Below are 13,926 nucleotides of genomic sequence, written 5' to 3' on the forward strand. Positions count from 1 at the left end.
GGTGGGGTGGGGAGTGCCTTGGCAAGAGCAGAGTGTAAATGGAAAAGCAGTTTCTGAAATAGGCTTCTTTCCCTGCCCAGGCATTCTGTACTCTGTCCCATCACCGTCACACCCATCCCATCCCCAAACTTGGGATGGCAATGAAGACCATAACTTTCTTATTCTGGTACTTTGTGAGGAACTGGCTAGATCAGAAAAGTGAGTTCCTACTGTTGAGCTGGGCACTGTGCTAAGGACTTCAAACACATCATCCCCTTTAACCTGCTCAACTACTCTGCCTGGTGATTATTATCAACTCCCATTTTGCAGATGAGGTCAGTGAGGTGAGTGTAGAGGTGATATCTAGGTACATTTAATAAGATACTAAAACATTGGGGGGAAAATTAAGGAGTCCAATTCTTATCCTTTTCTGAAAGTTGTTGGTGAAGAGGTCATTAGTCAGCCATTCTCATCAACTAGAACTCAAAAGCTCCTAGAAATAAAGTCTGATGCTCTCACTGTATAGATGGGGCAGCTGAGGCCCAGAGAGAGGCAGTCATGTGCCTAAGGTCACCCAGCCAATTGGTGGCCAAGCCTTTGCCTCCCAGCCAGAGACCTTTCCCTGCAGCAGCTGCCCCTATACTGCAGAATGACTTTCATCAGCCCCTCCCACCTTCCACAGAAGGCTCAGTCATGTCACCCCAGAGCCCACTGCTTTTTAATTAACCATACTTGAGAGGTAACGCCGAGGAACCAAACATGCTTCAGTCAGTGATGAGTTTGTTTTGACTCCTCCAAGCAGGGGGAAAACCTGAGAACTCCTTTCCAAGCTGGTCACCACAGGCTAGGCCCATGTTCAGGGTTGAGAACCCCAGGTAATGGGGGACTGGCCACGGAGGTCCTTGGAGAAAGGAGGGAAGGCACAGCGCTGGGCAGAGATGCCAGAAAACCTAGTTCTAATCTTGGCCTTGCTGCTGTCAGTGTGTGGCCTTAAGCAAGTCATTTTTCTCTCGGCCTCAATTTACTCTAAAATGTGTACCCTCATAGCTACTAAGAAAGTTGTTGCAAAAACTAGAAATGATGCTTACTGGTATTTAATTAGTCTCAAACACATAGTAGGCTTTTAACAATTAGTGGCTGTCATTTTCATTATTATTAGGCGCTTCAATTTTTACATGTTGGCAATCTCAAACATACCATTTTCTTTTTTTTAAAACCCTTTTTTTTTTTTTTTTTTTGAGACAGAATCTCCCTCTGTTACCCAGGCTGGAGTGCAGTGGTGTGATCTTGGCTCACTGCAACCTTCGCCTCCCGGGTTCAAGCAATTCTCCTGCCTCAGCCTCTCATGTAGCTGAGGCTACAGGCACCTGCCACCACACCCGGCTAATTTTTGTATTTTTAATAGAAACGGGGTTTCACTGTGTTAGCCAGGCTGGTCTTGAACTCCTGACCCCAGGTGATCCACCCGTCTCAGCCTCCCAAAGTGCTGGAATTACAGGCATGAGCCACCACGCCTGGCCTAACCTTTTTTTTTTTTTTAACAGCTTCCCACATAAGCCAAAAATGTAATGTAATTGCTAAAAAAAAAAGTGAGTGGAACCTCAGGTCACATTAACAGAGTATAAGGTCTGGAAGCAAAGGAGTGATGATCTATATTAACTTTCAGTTGGATAGAACTCACCAGCCATCACATCTCAGAAATAACTTTTTATCGTCTACTCTGTAGGTTCCCAACTTTGGTTTCCAATTTCCTGAGGGTCCCCAAACATAGCAGTGGGGATTCTTGAGCAATCTCCAATATTGCAAAGGTTTTTTGTTTTTTGTTTTTTTTGAGACGGAGTCTCGCTCTGTTGCCCAGGCTAGAGTGCAGTGGTGTGATCTCTGCTCACTGCAACCTGCGCCTCCCAGGTTCAAGCAATTCTCTGCCTCAGCCTCCCAAGTAGCTGGGATTACAGGCCCCTGCCATCACGCCTGGCTAATATTTGTATTTTTAGTAGAGACGGGGTTTCACCATCTTGGCCAGAGGCTGGTCTTGAACTCCTGACCTCGTGATCCACCCGCCTCAGCCTCCCAAAGTGCTGGGATTGCAGGTGTGAGCCACTGTGCCCGGCCCAACAATTTTTGTTTTCTTTTTTTTTGAGATGGAGTCTCACCCTCTTGCCCAGGCTGGAGTGCAATGTTGCCATCTCGGCTCACTGCACCCTCTGCCTCCCAGGTCCAAGCAGTTCTCCTGCCTCAGCTGGCTACAATATTGCAAAGGTTTTACAGGGACCAAGTTTCTTCTCTTTGAGCTAGAATTATATCAGTTCCAGGGGGTAATTAACATAGGTGCTCTCCTGCTGATCAGAGCTCTTTGATTAATACAGAATGGAAAAAATTAGTACTTAATAAATGCAGTCTATTATGTAGACAGAATCCTTCAGAACTTGGAGTTCAAAGGGAAAGAAGTAGAAAAATTAGGCCAGTTGTATTTTCTACACCATTTTATGAAGTAGTAACAGATCTAGAGAGGTGAAGGGTTTGGCACAAAGTAGCACAATGATTTAATATCAGAATGAGGACTTGAGCCAAGGTCTTGTAACTCCTGGAAGCCCAAGGGATTCCCCAGAGCCCTGGCTGGCCAGTTGCTCAGAGCCCCATAATGTGAGATGGACTTTGACCAATCAGATGATCAGAGGCAGGTGACTACTTCAGATCTGGGAACCAGGTCATGTGAGGATTAGGTAAAGAGCTGGGGATAGTTGGCCTTGAACAGAGGAGACTCTGGGCTCACAGCCTAGGGCCTCAGATCTCTGCAAGGTTGTTCTGGGACAAGAGGATCAGACATTTTTATGAGAATCGAGAGAACAGAGCTGAAATCAGTGGGGAAAGCCATAGGGAGATGGATGTTGAGTCAATAAAGGTAGAACTTATTTAGAGTATACCTGAAATACTGCAAAAAGAACTCCATCACTCTGGGCCATATTTCACTCACAAATTCGTAATCCTTTACAAATTTGTTTTGTTTTTTAACAAACAAGTTTTTTTGTTTTGTTAAATTGTTTTGTTTTGTTTTTTAAAAAAGCACCTCTATCCATGGAAGGTAATCAGGAAAAGGCTAAATATGGGATTCAGCTAAGGGGATTCTTGTATTGAAGAGAAGGTTGAAGTAAATCCCTGTACAAGTTGGAATGCCTTAAAATGAAAGCTTAAATAACAAAGAATCCCAAGGAGTCTATAAAACGTGCACAAAATAACCTGTTAGAACAAAGTGTGTTTGGGCCGGGCGCAGTGGCTCACACCTGTAATCCCAGCACTTTGGGAGGCCCAGGAGGGTGGATCATGAGGTCAGGAGATTGAAACCATCCTGGCTAACACGGTGAAACCCCATCTCTACTAAAAATACAACAAAATTAGCCGGGCTTGGTGGCGGGCACCTGTAATCCCAGCTACTCGGGAGGCTGAGGCAGGAGAATGGCATGAACCCTGGAGGGAGAGCTTGAAGTGAACAGAGATCGCGCCACTGCACTCCAGCCTGGGTGACAGAGTGAGACTCTGTCTCAAAAAAAAAAAAAAAAAAAAAAAAAAAAAAAAAGAACTAAGTTTGTTTAGCAAGGTCACAGTAAAGTCAAAACCAAACATCAATTGTATTTATATATACTACTAACAAAAAATTAGAAACCCAAACTAAAAACACAATAATACCATTTACAGTTACTCTAAAATAAATGAAATACTTAGGTAAAATTTAACAAAACATGTACAGGTTCTGTATGTTAAAAACTACAAAATCCCTCCACTTTGGGAGGCCAAGACTGGAGGATCGCTTGAGCCCAGGAGTTCGAGATCATTCTGGGCAACATGACAAGACTCCTGTCTCTACAAAAAAAAAAAAAAAAAAAAAAAAAAAAGCAGGGTATGGTGGCATGTGCCTGTAGTCCCAGCTACTGGGAGGCTGAGATGGGAGGATTGCTTTAGCCCAGGAGGCGGAGGCTGCCATGAGCCCAGATCACACCACTGCACTCTAGTCTGGGTGACAGAGCAAGACTCTGTCTCAAAAAAAAGAAAACTACAAAATGCTTAGCCGGGCATGATGGCATGTGGCTGAGGTGGGAGGATCCCTTGAGCCCAAGAGTTCAAGGCTCACTTGTAAGCTATGATCATGTCACTATACTCCAACCTGGCAACAGAGGGAGACCCCTGTCTCTAAAAATAACCAACCAAACAAAAAAAAAACTACAAAATGCTGATGAAGGAAATCAAAGAAGACCTAAAATGGAGAAATACACTATGTTCATGAATTGCAAAACTCAACATAGTAAACATAAAAATTGCAACCCGCCCTTTTTTTTTGAGACAGGGCCTTGCTCTGTTACCCAGGCTGGAGTACAATGGCACAATCTAGCCTCAACTTCCTGGGCTCAAGTGACCCTCCCACCTCAGCCTCCCAAGGAGCTCAATGGAAAAGAATTCACAGAAAATTAGGCCAGTCGTATTTTCTGTTCCATTTTATGAAGTAGTAACCGAGATCCAGAGAAGAGAAGGGTTTGGCACAAAGTAGCACAACGTTTAATACCAGAATGAGGACTTGAGCCAAGGTCTTGTAACTTCTGGAAGGCTTGGCTGGCAGCTGCTCAGACCCCCACAATTGGAGAGGGATCACCACACCCTGTTAATTTTTTATTTTTGTAGAGATGGGTTCTTGCTATGTTGCCCAGGCTGGTTTTGAACTCCTGGGCTCAAGCAATTCTCCCTTCTTGGCCTCTCAAAGTGTGGGGATTACAAGTGTGAGCCACTGTGCCTGGCCAAAATGGCAGTTTTATAGATAGATAGATAGATAGATAGATAGATAGATAGACAGATAGATAGATAGATAGATAAGCTAATTCTCAAATTTATATATAGAGAGACAAAGGAACTAGAATAGCTAAAGTAATACTGAAAAAGAATAATGAAGTTGGAGGAAATCACACTACTCAATTTTAAGACTTATTGTATAGCAACAATAATAAACAGTAAGGAGGATAGTGTGGTATTGGAGGAGGGACAGACACATGCATAGATCAAAATATGGTCCAGAAGTAGACTGACATCATAAGGTTGTCCAACAGATTTTTGATGAAGGTGCAAAATCAATTCAACTGGGGAAGATAGTCTTTTCAATAAATGGTGTTAAAACAACTAAACTTCCATAAGTAAAAAATAAACCTTTACCTAGATCTCACACCTTGTACAAAAATTATCTCAAAAAAGATCTAAATGTAAACCAAAAAACTCTAACACTTTTAGAAGAAAACAGGGAAAAATCTTCATGACATGCGGTTATGCAAAGAATTCTTAAACAAGACATCAAAAGCACAATACATTTTAAAAAAGATAAGCCAGTATTCATCAAAGTTCAAAATTTTAATGCTGTGAAAGATCCTGTTAAGAGGATGAAAAGGCAAGCCTCAGACTGGAGAATATATTCACATATTTGACAAAATATATAAGGATTGGTCGGGTGTGGTGGCTCATGCCTGTAATCCCAGCACTTTGGGAGGCCCAGGTGGGTGGATCACTTGAGGTCAGGAGTTCAAGACAAGCCTGGCTGACATGGCGAAACCCCGTCTCTACTAAAAATACAAAAAGAATTAGCCAGGTCTTGTGGCACAAGCCTGTAATCCCAGCTACTCAGGAGGCTGAGGCAGGAGAATCACTTGAACCCAGGAAATGGAGGTTGTGGTGAGCTGAGATCACGCCACTGCACTCCAGCCTGGGTGACAGAGTGATATGTCTCAATAAATGAATAAATAAATAAATAAAACAAAATATATAAAGAACACCCTAAACTCAACATTAAGAAAACAAATGATCCCATTAGAAAATGAGCAGAAGACTTGAACAGACACTTCATTAAAGACAAACAGAGAACAATCTATGTTTTAAAATGTCCAGGCATGGTGGCTCAGGCCTGTAACCCCAGCAACTTGGGAAGCCAAGGCAGGAGGATAACTTGAGCCCAGGACTTCAGGATAGCCTGGGAAATATAATGAGACCCTGTATCTACAAAAAAAAAAAAAAAAAAAAAAAAAAAGGTGGATGTGGTGGTGCACACCTATAGACCTAGCTACTCAGGAGGCTGAGGTGGGAAGATCACCTGAGCCCAGGAGGTCAAGGCTGTAGTGCGCCATGTTCAAGCCACTGCACTCCAGTCTTGGCAACAGTGCAAGACCCTATCTCAAAATAAAATAATGTTTTTGAAAAAGGATATATAGGTGGCAAATAGGCACATGAAAATATGTTCAACTTCATTAGTCATTAAGGAAATGCAGATTAAAGCCACAATGAGATGCCATCTCAAGGAGCACAGGTAATGGAAAGAGATTGAAAGCTTTCAGAAAGAATAGTACATAGACTCACTTGATCTTAGAAAGATCTTAGATCTCTCTGGCTACAGCATGGAGGACGTGATGGAGGGGCCCCCACTGGAGGCCGTTCCAGGGGTCTGGGCAGAAGAAGATGAAAGCCTGATCTAAGGTGGTAGCCTTGAGGATGGAGAGAAATGGGTGGATACCACAGATGACTATTAGGTGGAACCAGCAGGACCTGGCTTTGTGAAAGGGCCGAGGTAGAAGGTGTGAGAGATGACTCGAATTTTTGGCTTAAACACTTGATACATTTTTTTATCTAGAAAGACAGAAATGTTCAATTGTGTCAAATGCTCCTGATTAAAAAAAGAAAAAGGAAAAAAGAATCAGAGTCCTATAACTGGTAAAGTAAAATTTAAAATAAATAAATAATGTTAAATGTTCCTGATAAGGGAGATAAGGATTTAGAAGTGACTATGGGTTTAGTGACAAATAGTTTGAAGGTATAGTGGGGGCAGAACAAAGTAAGTTGCAGCTGAACAAGTCATGAATGGAAGGTAGAGAATAATAAGGCCAAGTGGACTTCCTTTCAAGCTTTGATTTAAGAGGAAGAGAGAAGATAAGTCACTCAGCAAAGAGAAGCATGGAATCTATTCTCAAAGCGAGAACAATCTATGTTTTAAAAATGTCCACCACTCTTCTCCATACTAGCTGTATGGTAATCCTGTGTTCTCATCTATAAAATGGATTTCTAATAGTACCTACCTCATAGGGTTATGGTGAAGGTCAAGTCTTCATAGCTCTTAACAATTGTTTCTTATCTGTTTCCTCCACCAAACTACAAGTTCATGAGCAACACTGACAGCTCTCAGTGCATAATGTGGTGTATTGTTAATAAATACATGTTAAACAAATGATGCTTCTAAGGCTCTGACCACAGTGCACTGCCCAAGGTAAGCACCAGAGAAGTCAGCTGGGGAGTGTGATCCTGTTGGGGAAGAAGAGAGCCACACACCCTCAGTTTGCTGTTTTCCAGGCCCTGAGGAGGTTTCTCCTGACTGCCAAGGTGTGAACACAGGCATGGCGGCAGAAGTGCCAAAAGTGAGCCCTCTCCAGCAGAGTTACTCCTGCTTGAACCCGCAGCTGGAGAGCAATGAGGGGCAGGCTGTGAACTCCAAACGCCTCCTCCATCATTGCTTCATGGCCACAGTGACCACCAGTGACATTCCAGGCAGCCCTGAGGAAGCCTCTGTACCCAACCCTGACCTATGTGGACCAGTCCCATAAACATTCAATAAATGTCTCCATACCATCCCCTTCTGGAGTCTCTTCAGTGAAAGGTGGGAGTGGGAAAGGACTTTAGAGCCTAGCATGATAAATGAGGGCTTCTCCCAGCAAAGATACCCAGCCCTGCTGTGGACCCTGCCATACTGTTCTGCTTGGCCTATTGTGGGCCAAAGAACTTTGACATGACTCCTAGGAAAAATGGTCAGTAACAACTCCATGCAATCGGGTGGAAGCCTGGGGCCTGTGAAGGCACAGAGGAGCCCCTCACCCAACTGGGAAGTCAGAGAACTCTGACATGGTTTTCCTGCCCCACAGTAGGTGTATTTAGGAGCCCCTGAGAAGATGATTAGCCCTCAGAGGGGGATGATCTCTGCCTCTTCAGCAGCTCTGCCTCACCCTGGAGTGCGCCATCCTGGAGTAAGCCCCTTGCAGAGGGACGGATAGAGAGGGAGTATGTTGTGCACAGGGCTCAGGCGTCATTCTATTTCTTAGGTAGATGAAGGAGTGAGTGCTAAGTGAGAGAATGAATAGGGGCAGGGCGCGGCAGTTCACGCCTGTAGTCCTAGAGCTTTGGGAGGACAAGGTGGATGGATCACTTGAGCCCACTTATTCAAGACCAGCTTGGGCAACACAGTGAGACCCAGACTCTACAAAAAATTTAAAAATTAGCCACATGTGGTGGCTTATACCTGTAGTTGCAGCTACTTGGGAGGCTGAAGCAGGAGAATCAGTTGAGCCCTGGAGGTCGAGGCTGCAGTGAGCTATGATCACACCACTGCACTCCAGCCTGGGCAAGACCTCATCACAAAAAAAGAAGAAGAATGAATGAATGAATGAATGGTTATCAGACTGAATACAGGCTCCAGAGGGTGGACTCTGCCACTGTGTGGCCTTGATAAAGTCCCTTGTCTTCCTGAGCCTCAGTCCCCTTGCTGGGTTATTGCAAGTGTTCAATGAGGTGATGGATTTGAACTCACTTCGTAAACATTAAATTACTAGAAGACTTTTTTTTTTTTTGAGACGGAGTTTTGCTCTGTCACTTAGGCTAGAGTGCAATGGCATGATCTCAGCTCAGTGCAACCTCCGCCTTCCGGGTTCAAGTGATCCTCCCACCTCAGCCTCCCAAGTAATTGGGACTACAGGTGTGTGCCACCATGCCTGGCTAATTTTTGTATTTTTAGTGGAGACGGGGTTTCACCATGTTGGCCAGGCTGGTCTTGAACTCCTGACCTCAAGTGATCCGCCTGCCTTGGCCTCCCAAAGTGCTGGGATTACAGATGTGAGCCACCACACCTGGCCTGTTAAAAGACTTTTTAAATGACCAATGGATGATAACATAGTATTCCTGCTAAAAGACTTTTTAAATTACAAATGGACAATAACAGTAAACTATGTAATACTGAACAACTCTGGAGCCAAATGCCTGGTTAAAATCCTGCCCCTGTCACTTACTTGCTAGGTAACCTCTGTGCCTCAGTCCTCTCATCTATATAAGCTGGAATCTTAGTAGTATCTTCTAATAGGGCTTGGGGAAGGACTAAATTACTAAGTCCATGCAAGTACATAGAAAAGTGTTGGCAAATGGAAAGCACTATGTGTTAGCTATTATTATTATTTTTAACATGTCTTATTATTAATCTGATCGCAAAGGAATCTTAGGGCAAGATGCTGACTGTCAGCCCTCCCTCCTGGCTGCTCTCCTAACTTTGGCGATGGCTTTTAGGCTTCGCCTTCGGAATGCAAGACAAGGACTGTGGAGACGCAGCTCAGCAGCCACCAAAAGCAGCTCTTGACATTTCAGACAGTGACATGACCTGCTGCTGGATTTGGCAACAGTGAAAGAGTCACTCTTAGATACCTGTGCCTGAGGCCAGCCAAAGGGTACATGATGGGGTGGCAAGACAGGGTGAGTCACCCACAGAAGTGTTCTAGGCTGGAAGTCAAGAGATTTTGGTTCTGGTCTTGCTTCATTTGTTGTTGTTGGTGGTGGTGGTGGTGGTGGTGTGTGTGTGTGTGTGTGTGCTCTTTTATTTCAGCATTTTTTTTTTGAGACAGTCTCATTCTGTCACCAGGCTGGAGTGCAGTGGAGATCATAGCTCACTGCAACCTCAAACTCCTGACACAAGCAATCCTTCTGCCTCAGCCTCCCAAGCAACTGTGACTACAGGTGCGTGCCACTGTGTCCAGCTAATTTTTAAATTTTTTTTTTATCGAGACGGGTGGTTGCTATGTTGCCTAGGCTAGCCTTGAACGTGTTGGGATTACAGGTGTGAGCCACTGCACCCAGCCTATTTTCAGCACTTAAAACCCAGCACCCTTGTCCATTTACTGCACACTTAGTGGTATCCATTCTATTCTAGGACCTGTGCAGGTTGCCACAAACAAGAGGAATCAGACAGTTCTCACCCTCAAGGGGCTCACATGGAGGACAAGGCAGGCACACAAATGGCCAGGAGGCCCAGTGGTGGCCCTTCATGGGGCTTTAGGGAGGAAGAAATGATGTCTGAGCTGAATCATCAAAGATGACTCAAAGTTTCCAGGTGAGACAGGAACAGAAAACATTATGGTCAGAATACAGCTTGTTCACAATAGTGAGAGCGAGCCAGTGTGGCCCAGGACCTGCAAGTTATTTGTTATAGAAAGAGCTTAGGGTACTTGTATATATGTGGTGGGGCTGGGTGATATTGGGATGTTTAGTCCCTGACGCTCTGTGCGACCCTTCACAGGACGAATTCCTTCTCTGTCCTTGGTATCCTCATCAGAAAAATCCAACTTTTCTCTGAACACTTTCAAGGGAGACTGGGAGGTTTCAGGAAAGAATCTGATAATGCCCTTGCCTTTAGGCTGCTAGCAGTCAGAAGGGGGAGATGCTGTGTGCATTCCAAACGCTAAAGTGGTCATCCGCGGCCTAAGGCAGTGGTTCTCAAACTCGAGGCTGCATCAGAATCAGCTGTGTGGAGGGCTTGTTAAAACACAGAATGCTGGCCTCCTACCCCAGTGTCTGACTCAGTAGGTCAGGAGTAAGTCCCCAGAATTTGCATTTCTAACAAATTCCAGGTGATGCTGATGATGCTGGTCTGAGACCACCCTTTGAGCACAACAGCCTCTGCAAGAACAAAAACAAGCTTTGAGGACTCCGAGCCAGAGAGATGTGGGGGAGACCGCACACTGAGCAAGGCCCTGAAGACCTGGTAGAATTTCCCCAACAGTTGGAGAAAGGGAATGTACATGCTGCTTTTGCTGACCTACACATCCTAGGCCTCATAAAGCCCCTCCCTGCCCCCCAACAGCTCCTCTCCTTTGAATTCAATCAAGGCTCAGAGCCGGCTGTCACTGGGGTTGGCTAGTCTGGGTCCTGCATTAGAAACAAACTGCCCACCCTGTGTGATAGGAGCCCCTCCCCCAGGGCAGCCGCAGTGGGAGGATGCTGGGTGGGCTGATACGCAGACAGAAATAGTCTGAGCTCACCGCTGTTCCCAAGCACACATCGACCGGCAATTATTTCTTGTAAATTGCTTTCCCGGTTATGTTCAGAACATGTGTGTGTGCCTGCCTGAGAACAAACACTCAGAGGGCACAGGGCGGAGGAGCTAGCTGGAGAGTGGGCTTCGGATGGAGGGGAGTGAATCTTCAGCCCAGAATTAGAGAATGTTGAATCTTGGAACTTGGAAACGTTAGAACATTCCACTCCCCTTTACAGCTATCCTGCTAGGTGTTTTTTTCTCAGACGTTCACATTTGTTTGTCCATTCAACATTGATTGACAATGATTTTCTGCCAGAATCTTGGCTAAATGAGGTCCCGATCCCTATCTTCAAGAAGCTCATTGCTACAGGCATTTACAAAAGATCCCTAATCTAGCCAAAGACTTTGGGAAGGCCTCCTGGAGTAAGCAATAACTGGATTAAGTTTAAAGGACCCACTGACAGGTGAAAGGAGGTTTCTGGTACAAGATGAGGAACAGCATTTAAGGCAGAAGGAACAGCATACATGAAGACCTATGGCTAAGAGAGACCATATGGTTCTTTCAGGTAACAATAAGTAGTTCAGTTTGGGTAGACACAAGGTGGGAATGGTGAAAGATGAAGCTGGAAGGGTAGACGAGCCAAGTCCTGAAGCCTTTGCCATATTAAGGGGCTTGGTCTTTATCCCGAGGGCAAAAGGGAGCCACAGGAAAGGGTTTCAAGCATGGAAAGGAACTCGACAACACCTTTTGTGAGCACTTGCTTCCTGTTCTCTGTAACATTGAAGTGAAATTTGCCATTCAGGATCTCTGCCTTTGGGGCCCTTTGGTTGCAGATCCTTCAGAAGTCTAAAGGACAGTGATGTCTCATGTATCCACAAGAAATGACTTGGGCCCTAGACATCTGTCCTCCGGTCAGGGGGAGGCCATTCTACTGCCTGACTGACTCATGACACTGCTCCTCCTGATCTGTGCCTGTTGGCTCAGGGGCCAGGGCACAAGACAGCCAAAGCCAGGCTGCAGGCCACAGCCCAGGAGAGCTCCATGCCTTGCTCGGTCCCAGAACCCTGGGTCCCACCTGGGAAGTCTCGTGTGTGGAACACTCACAGGGGTGTGAAGGGCTCCTTGCATACCTTCTCCATCCCTCACAGGATCAAGGCCACCCAGAGCAGATGACCCACTCTGAGAGAGTTGACTGAAGACACACTGTGGGCCCACCACTGTGACAAGCCCTTAGAATAGAATACGGCCGGGCATGGTGGCTCACAGCTATAATCCCAGCACTTTGGGAGGCCAAGGAGGGCGGATAACCTGAGGTCAGGAGTTCCAGACCAGCCTGGTCAACATGGTGAAACCCCGTCTCTACTAAAAATACAAAAAATTAGCCAGGCATGGTGGCAGGTGCCTGTAATCCCAGCTACTCGGGAGGCTGAGGCAGGAGAATCGCTTGAACCCAGGAGGAGGAGGTTGCGGTGATCTGAGATTGCGCCACTGCACTCCAGCCTGGGTGACAGAGCAAGACTCCGTCTCAAAAAAAAAAAAATAATAATAATCCTGCAACCCCGCCCTTCAGGCCTTACTTACTAGAGATGAAGAGTAGGTTTGACCCGTGAAACCCCTAGAGAACAGTCAGAGAGAGATCCCAAACAAATGCCAAGATGTGGGGTAAGGACCATTAGAGTTGCAAAGATTCTAAGGCAGGAGAAAAGAAACAGTCTGGAAGCCTTCATGGAGGAAGCAGGGGTTGAACTTAATCTTGATGGACCATGGCAATACTTGAAGGGTCTCATCCAGGTAGAGGAAGCATTCTATCCTGTCAACTTTCTATTTTATTTTATTTTATTTATTTATTTATTTATTGAGACAGAGTCTTGCTCTGTCACCCAGGCTGGAGTGCGATGTCTCAATCTCAGCTCACTGCAACCTCCACCTCCCGGGTTCAAGTGATTCTCCTGCCTCAGCCTTGTGAGTAGCTGGGATTACAGGCCCCTGCCAATATGCCCGGCTAATTTTTTTTTTTTTTTTTTAAATAAAGATGGGGTTTTACCGTGTTGGCCAGGCTGGTCTTGAACTCCAGACCTCAAGTGATCTGCCCACTTAGGCCTCCCAAAGTGCTGGGATTACAGGCGTGAGGTACCGCCCCCCCACCCTTTCTGTTTTAAAGAGAGTACCCCTTAGGGCTCCAAGGGCTCTGGACAAGTAGATCTCTCTAGCCCCACCTTCAGCCATAGTCCGCTAACCAACAGACTATCTTTTGTGTGCCAGGTCTTGTCCTGGGCTCTAGGAACAAAGAAATGAATCAGTCATAATTCCTGCCCTCAGGGAATTCTCAGGCTACTGGAGGAAGACTGCTAGGTTAAATAGACAGTTAAATACACTGTGGAAAGTGCCATGGTTTGTTTATTCAAGCACAGGGCAAAATCACTACTTGTCCAGCACAGAGGGCTGCTGTCGTGCAGCCAGCCTTATCTCCAAGGAGGCCTTTCTCCGGGAAGTAGGGAGCTTCATTGTGAAACCTTCATCTTCTAAACCTCCAGCTCCGGGTTCTCAAGCCCCGCCTTCTCTCCTGGCTGCTGTAGGTTACCATGGAAGCCGTAAGCCCCTCGCAGCTCCCTGCGGTTCCACACCCCTCCCTCTTCTCCATCTCTCTTAGCTCTTTGTCCTGTGGCTGCAGATGTCCTCCCGGGCTGATCAACTCCCGAACTTTCCCCAGGGTGAGAATTATTATCCCCATTTGAAATAGGGAAAAACTGAGACCCAGAGGCGTGAGGGATTTGCCCCAGACCCCTCGCAGCCCGTTACTGGCAGAATCCCAAGCACAGGTTCCCTCCAAGCACCTCCTCCGCCCTCCCCGCAACCACCCCTCTGT

The 13,926-nt window shown here is 45.8% G+C and overlaps 1 protein-coding gene across 11 annotated transcripts in view, besides 3 other annotated features; it reads left to right on the forward strand.

Moving 5' to 3' along the window:
• The window catches only part of SHISAL2A (shisa like 2A), a 36,896-nt gene that overhangs the window by 16,658 nt on the left and 6,312 nt on the right, over positions 1 to 13,926 (forward strand). For 3 of the 11 annotated variants that reach the window (NR_135156.2, XR_946637.2, NR_135157.2), the window contains one exon: positions 9,956 to 10,135. The exons of 5 other annotated variants lie outside the window; for them this stretch is intronic. Coding sequence is in view for 3 of the 6 variants with exons in the window: in XM_011541377.3 (XP_011539679.1) it covers positions 7,345 to 7,595 (251 nt within the window). In the remaining 3 variants the exon portion in view is untranslated. Of the gene's footprint in view, positions 1 to 7,344; positions 7,621 to 9,955; positions 10,136 to 13,926 lie in introns of those variants that run through there. 3 more of the 11 variants (XM_011541378.3, XM_011541377.3, NM_001042693.3) reach the window with 1 other exon arrangement.
• Positions 2,552 to 2,846: a silencer, noted in NCBI's record as "tiled region #2435; K562 Repressive non-DNase unmatched - State 23:Low". NCBI's record gives its function as "weakly represses a minimal TATA promoter and a strong SV40 promoter by Sharpr-MPRA in K562 cells {active_cell/tissue: K562}" and the evidence as "EXISTENCE:reporter gene assay evidence [ECO:0000049][PMID:27701403]".
• Positions 2,552 to 2,846: an enhancer, noted in NCBI's record as "tiled region #2435; HepG2 Activating DNase matched - State 5:Enh". NCBI's record gives its function as "activates a minimal TATA promoter and a strong SV40 promoter by Sharpr-MPRA in HepG2 cells {active_cell/tissue: HepG2}" and the evidence as "EXISTENCE:reporter gene assay evidence [ECO:0000049][PMID:27701403]".
• Positions 13,512 to 13,806: a silencer, noted in NCBI's record as "tiled region #753; HepG2 Repressive non-DNase unmatched - State 4:PromP". NCBI's record gives its function as "represses a minimal TATA promoter and a strong SV40 promoter by Sharpr-MPRA in HepG2 cells {active_cell/tissue: HepG2}" and the evidence as "EXISTENCE:reporter gene assay evidence [ECO:0000049][PMID:27701403]".

Source organism: Homo sapiens, chromosome 1 (genome assembly GCF_000001405.40).
Source record: "Homo sapiens chromosome 1, GRCh38.p14 Primary Assembly".
NCBI classification, from domain to species: domain Eukaryota; kingdom Metazoa; phylum Chordata; class Mammalia; order Primates; family Hominidae; genus Homo; species Homo sapiens.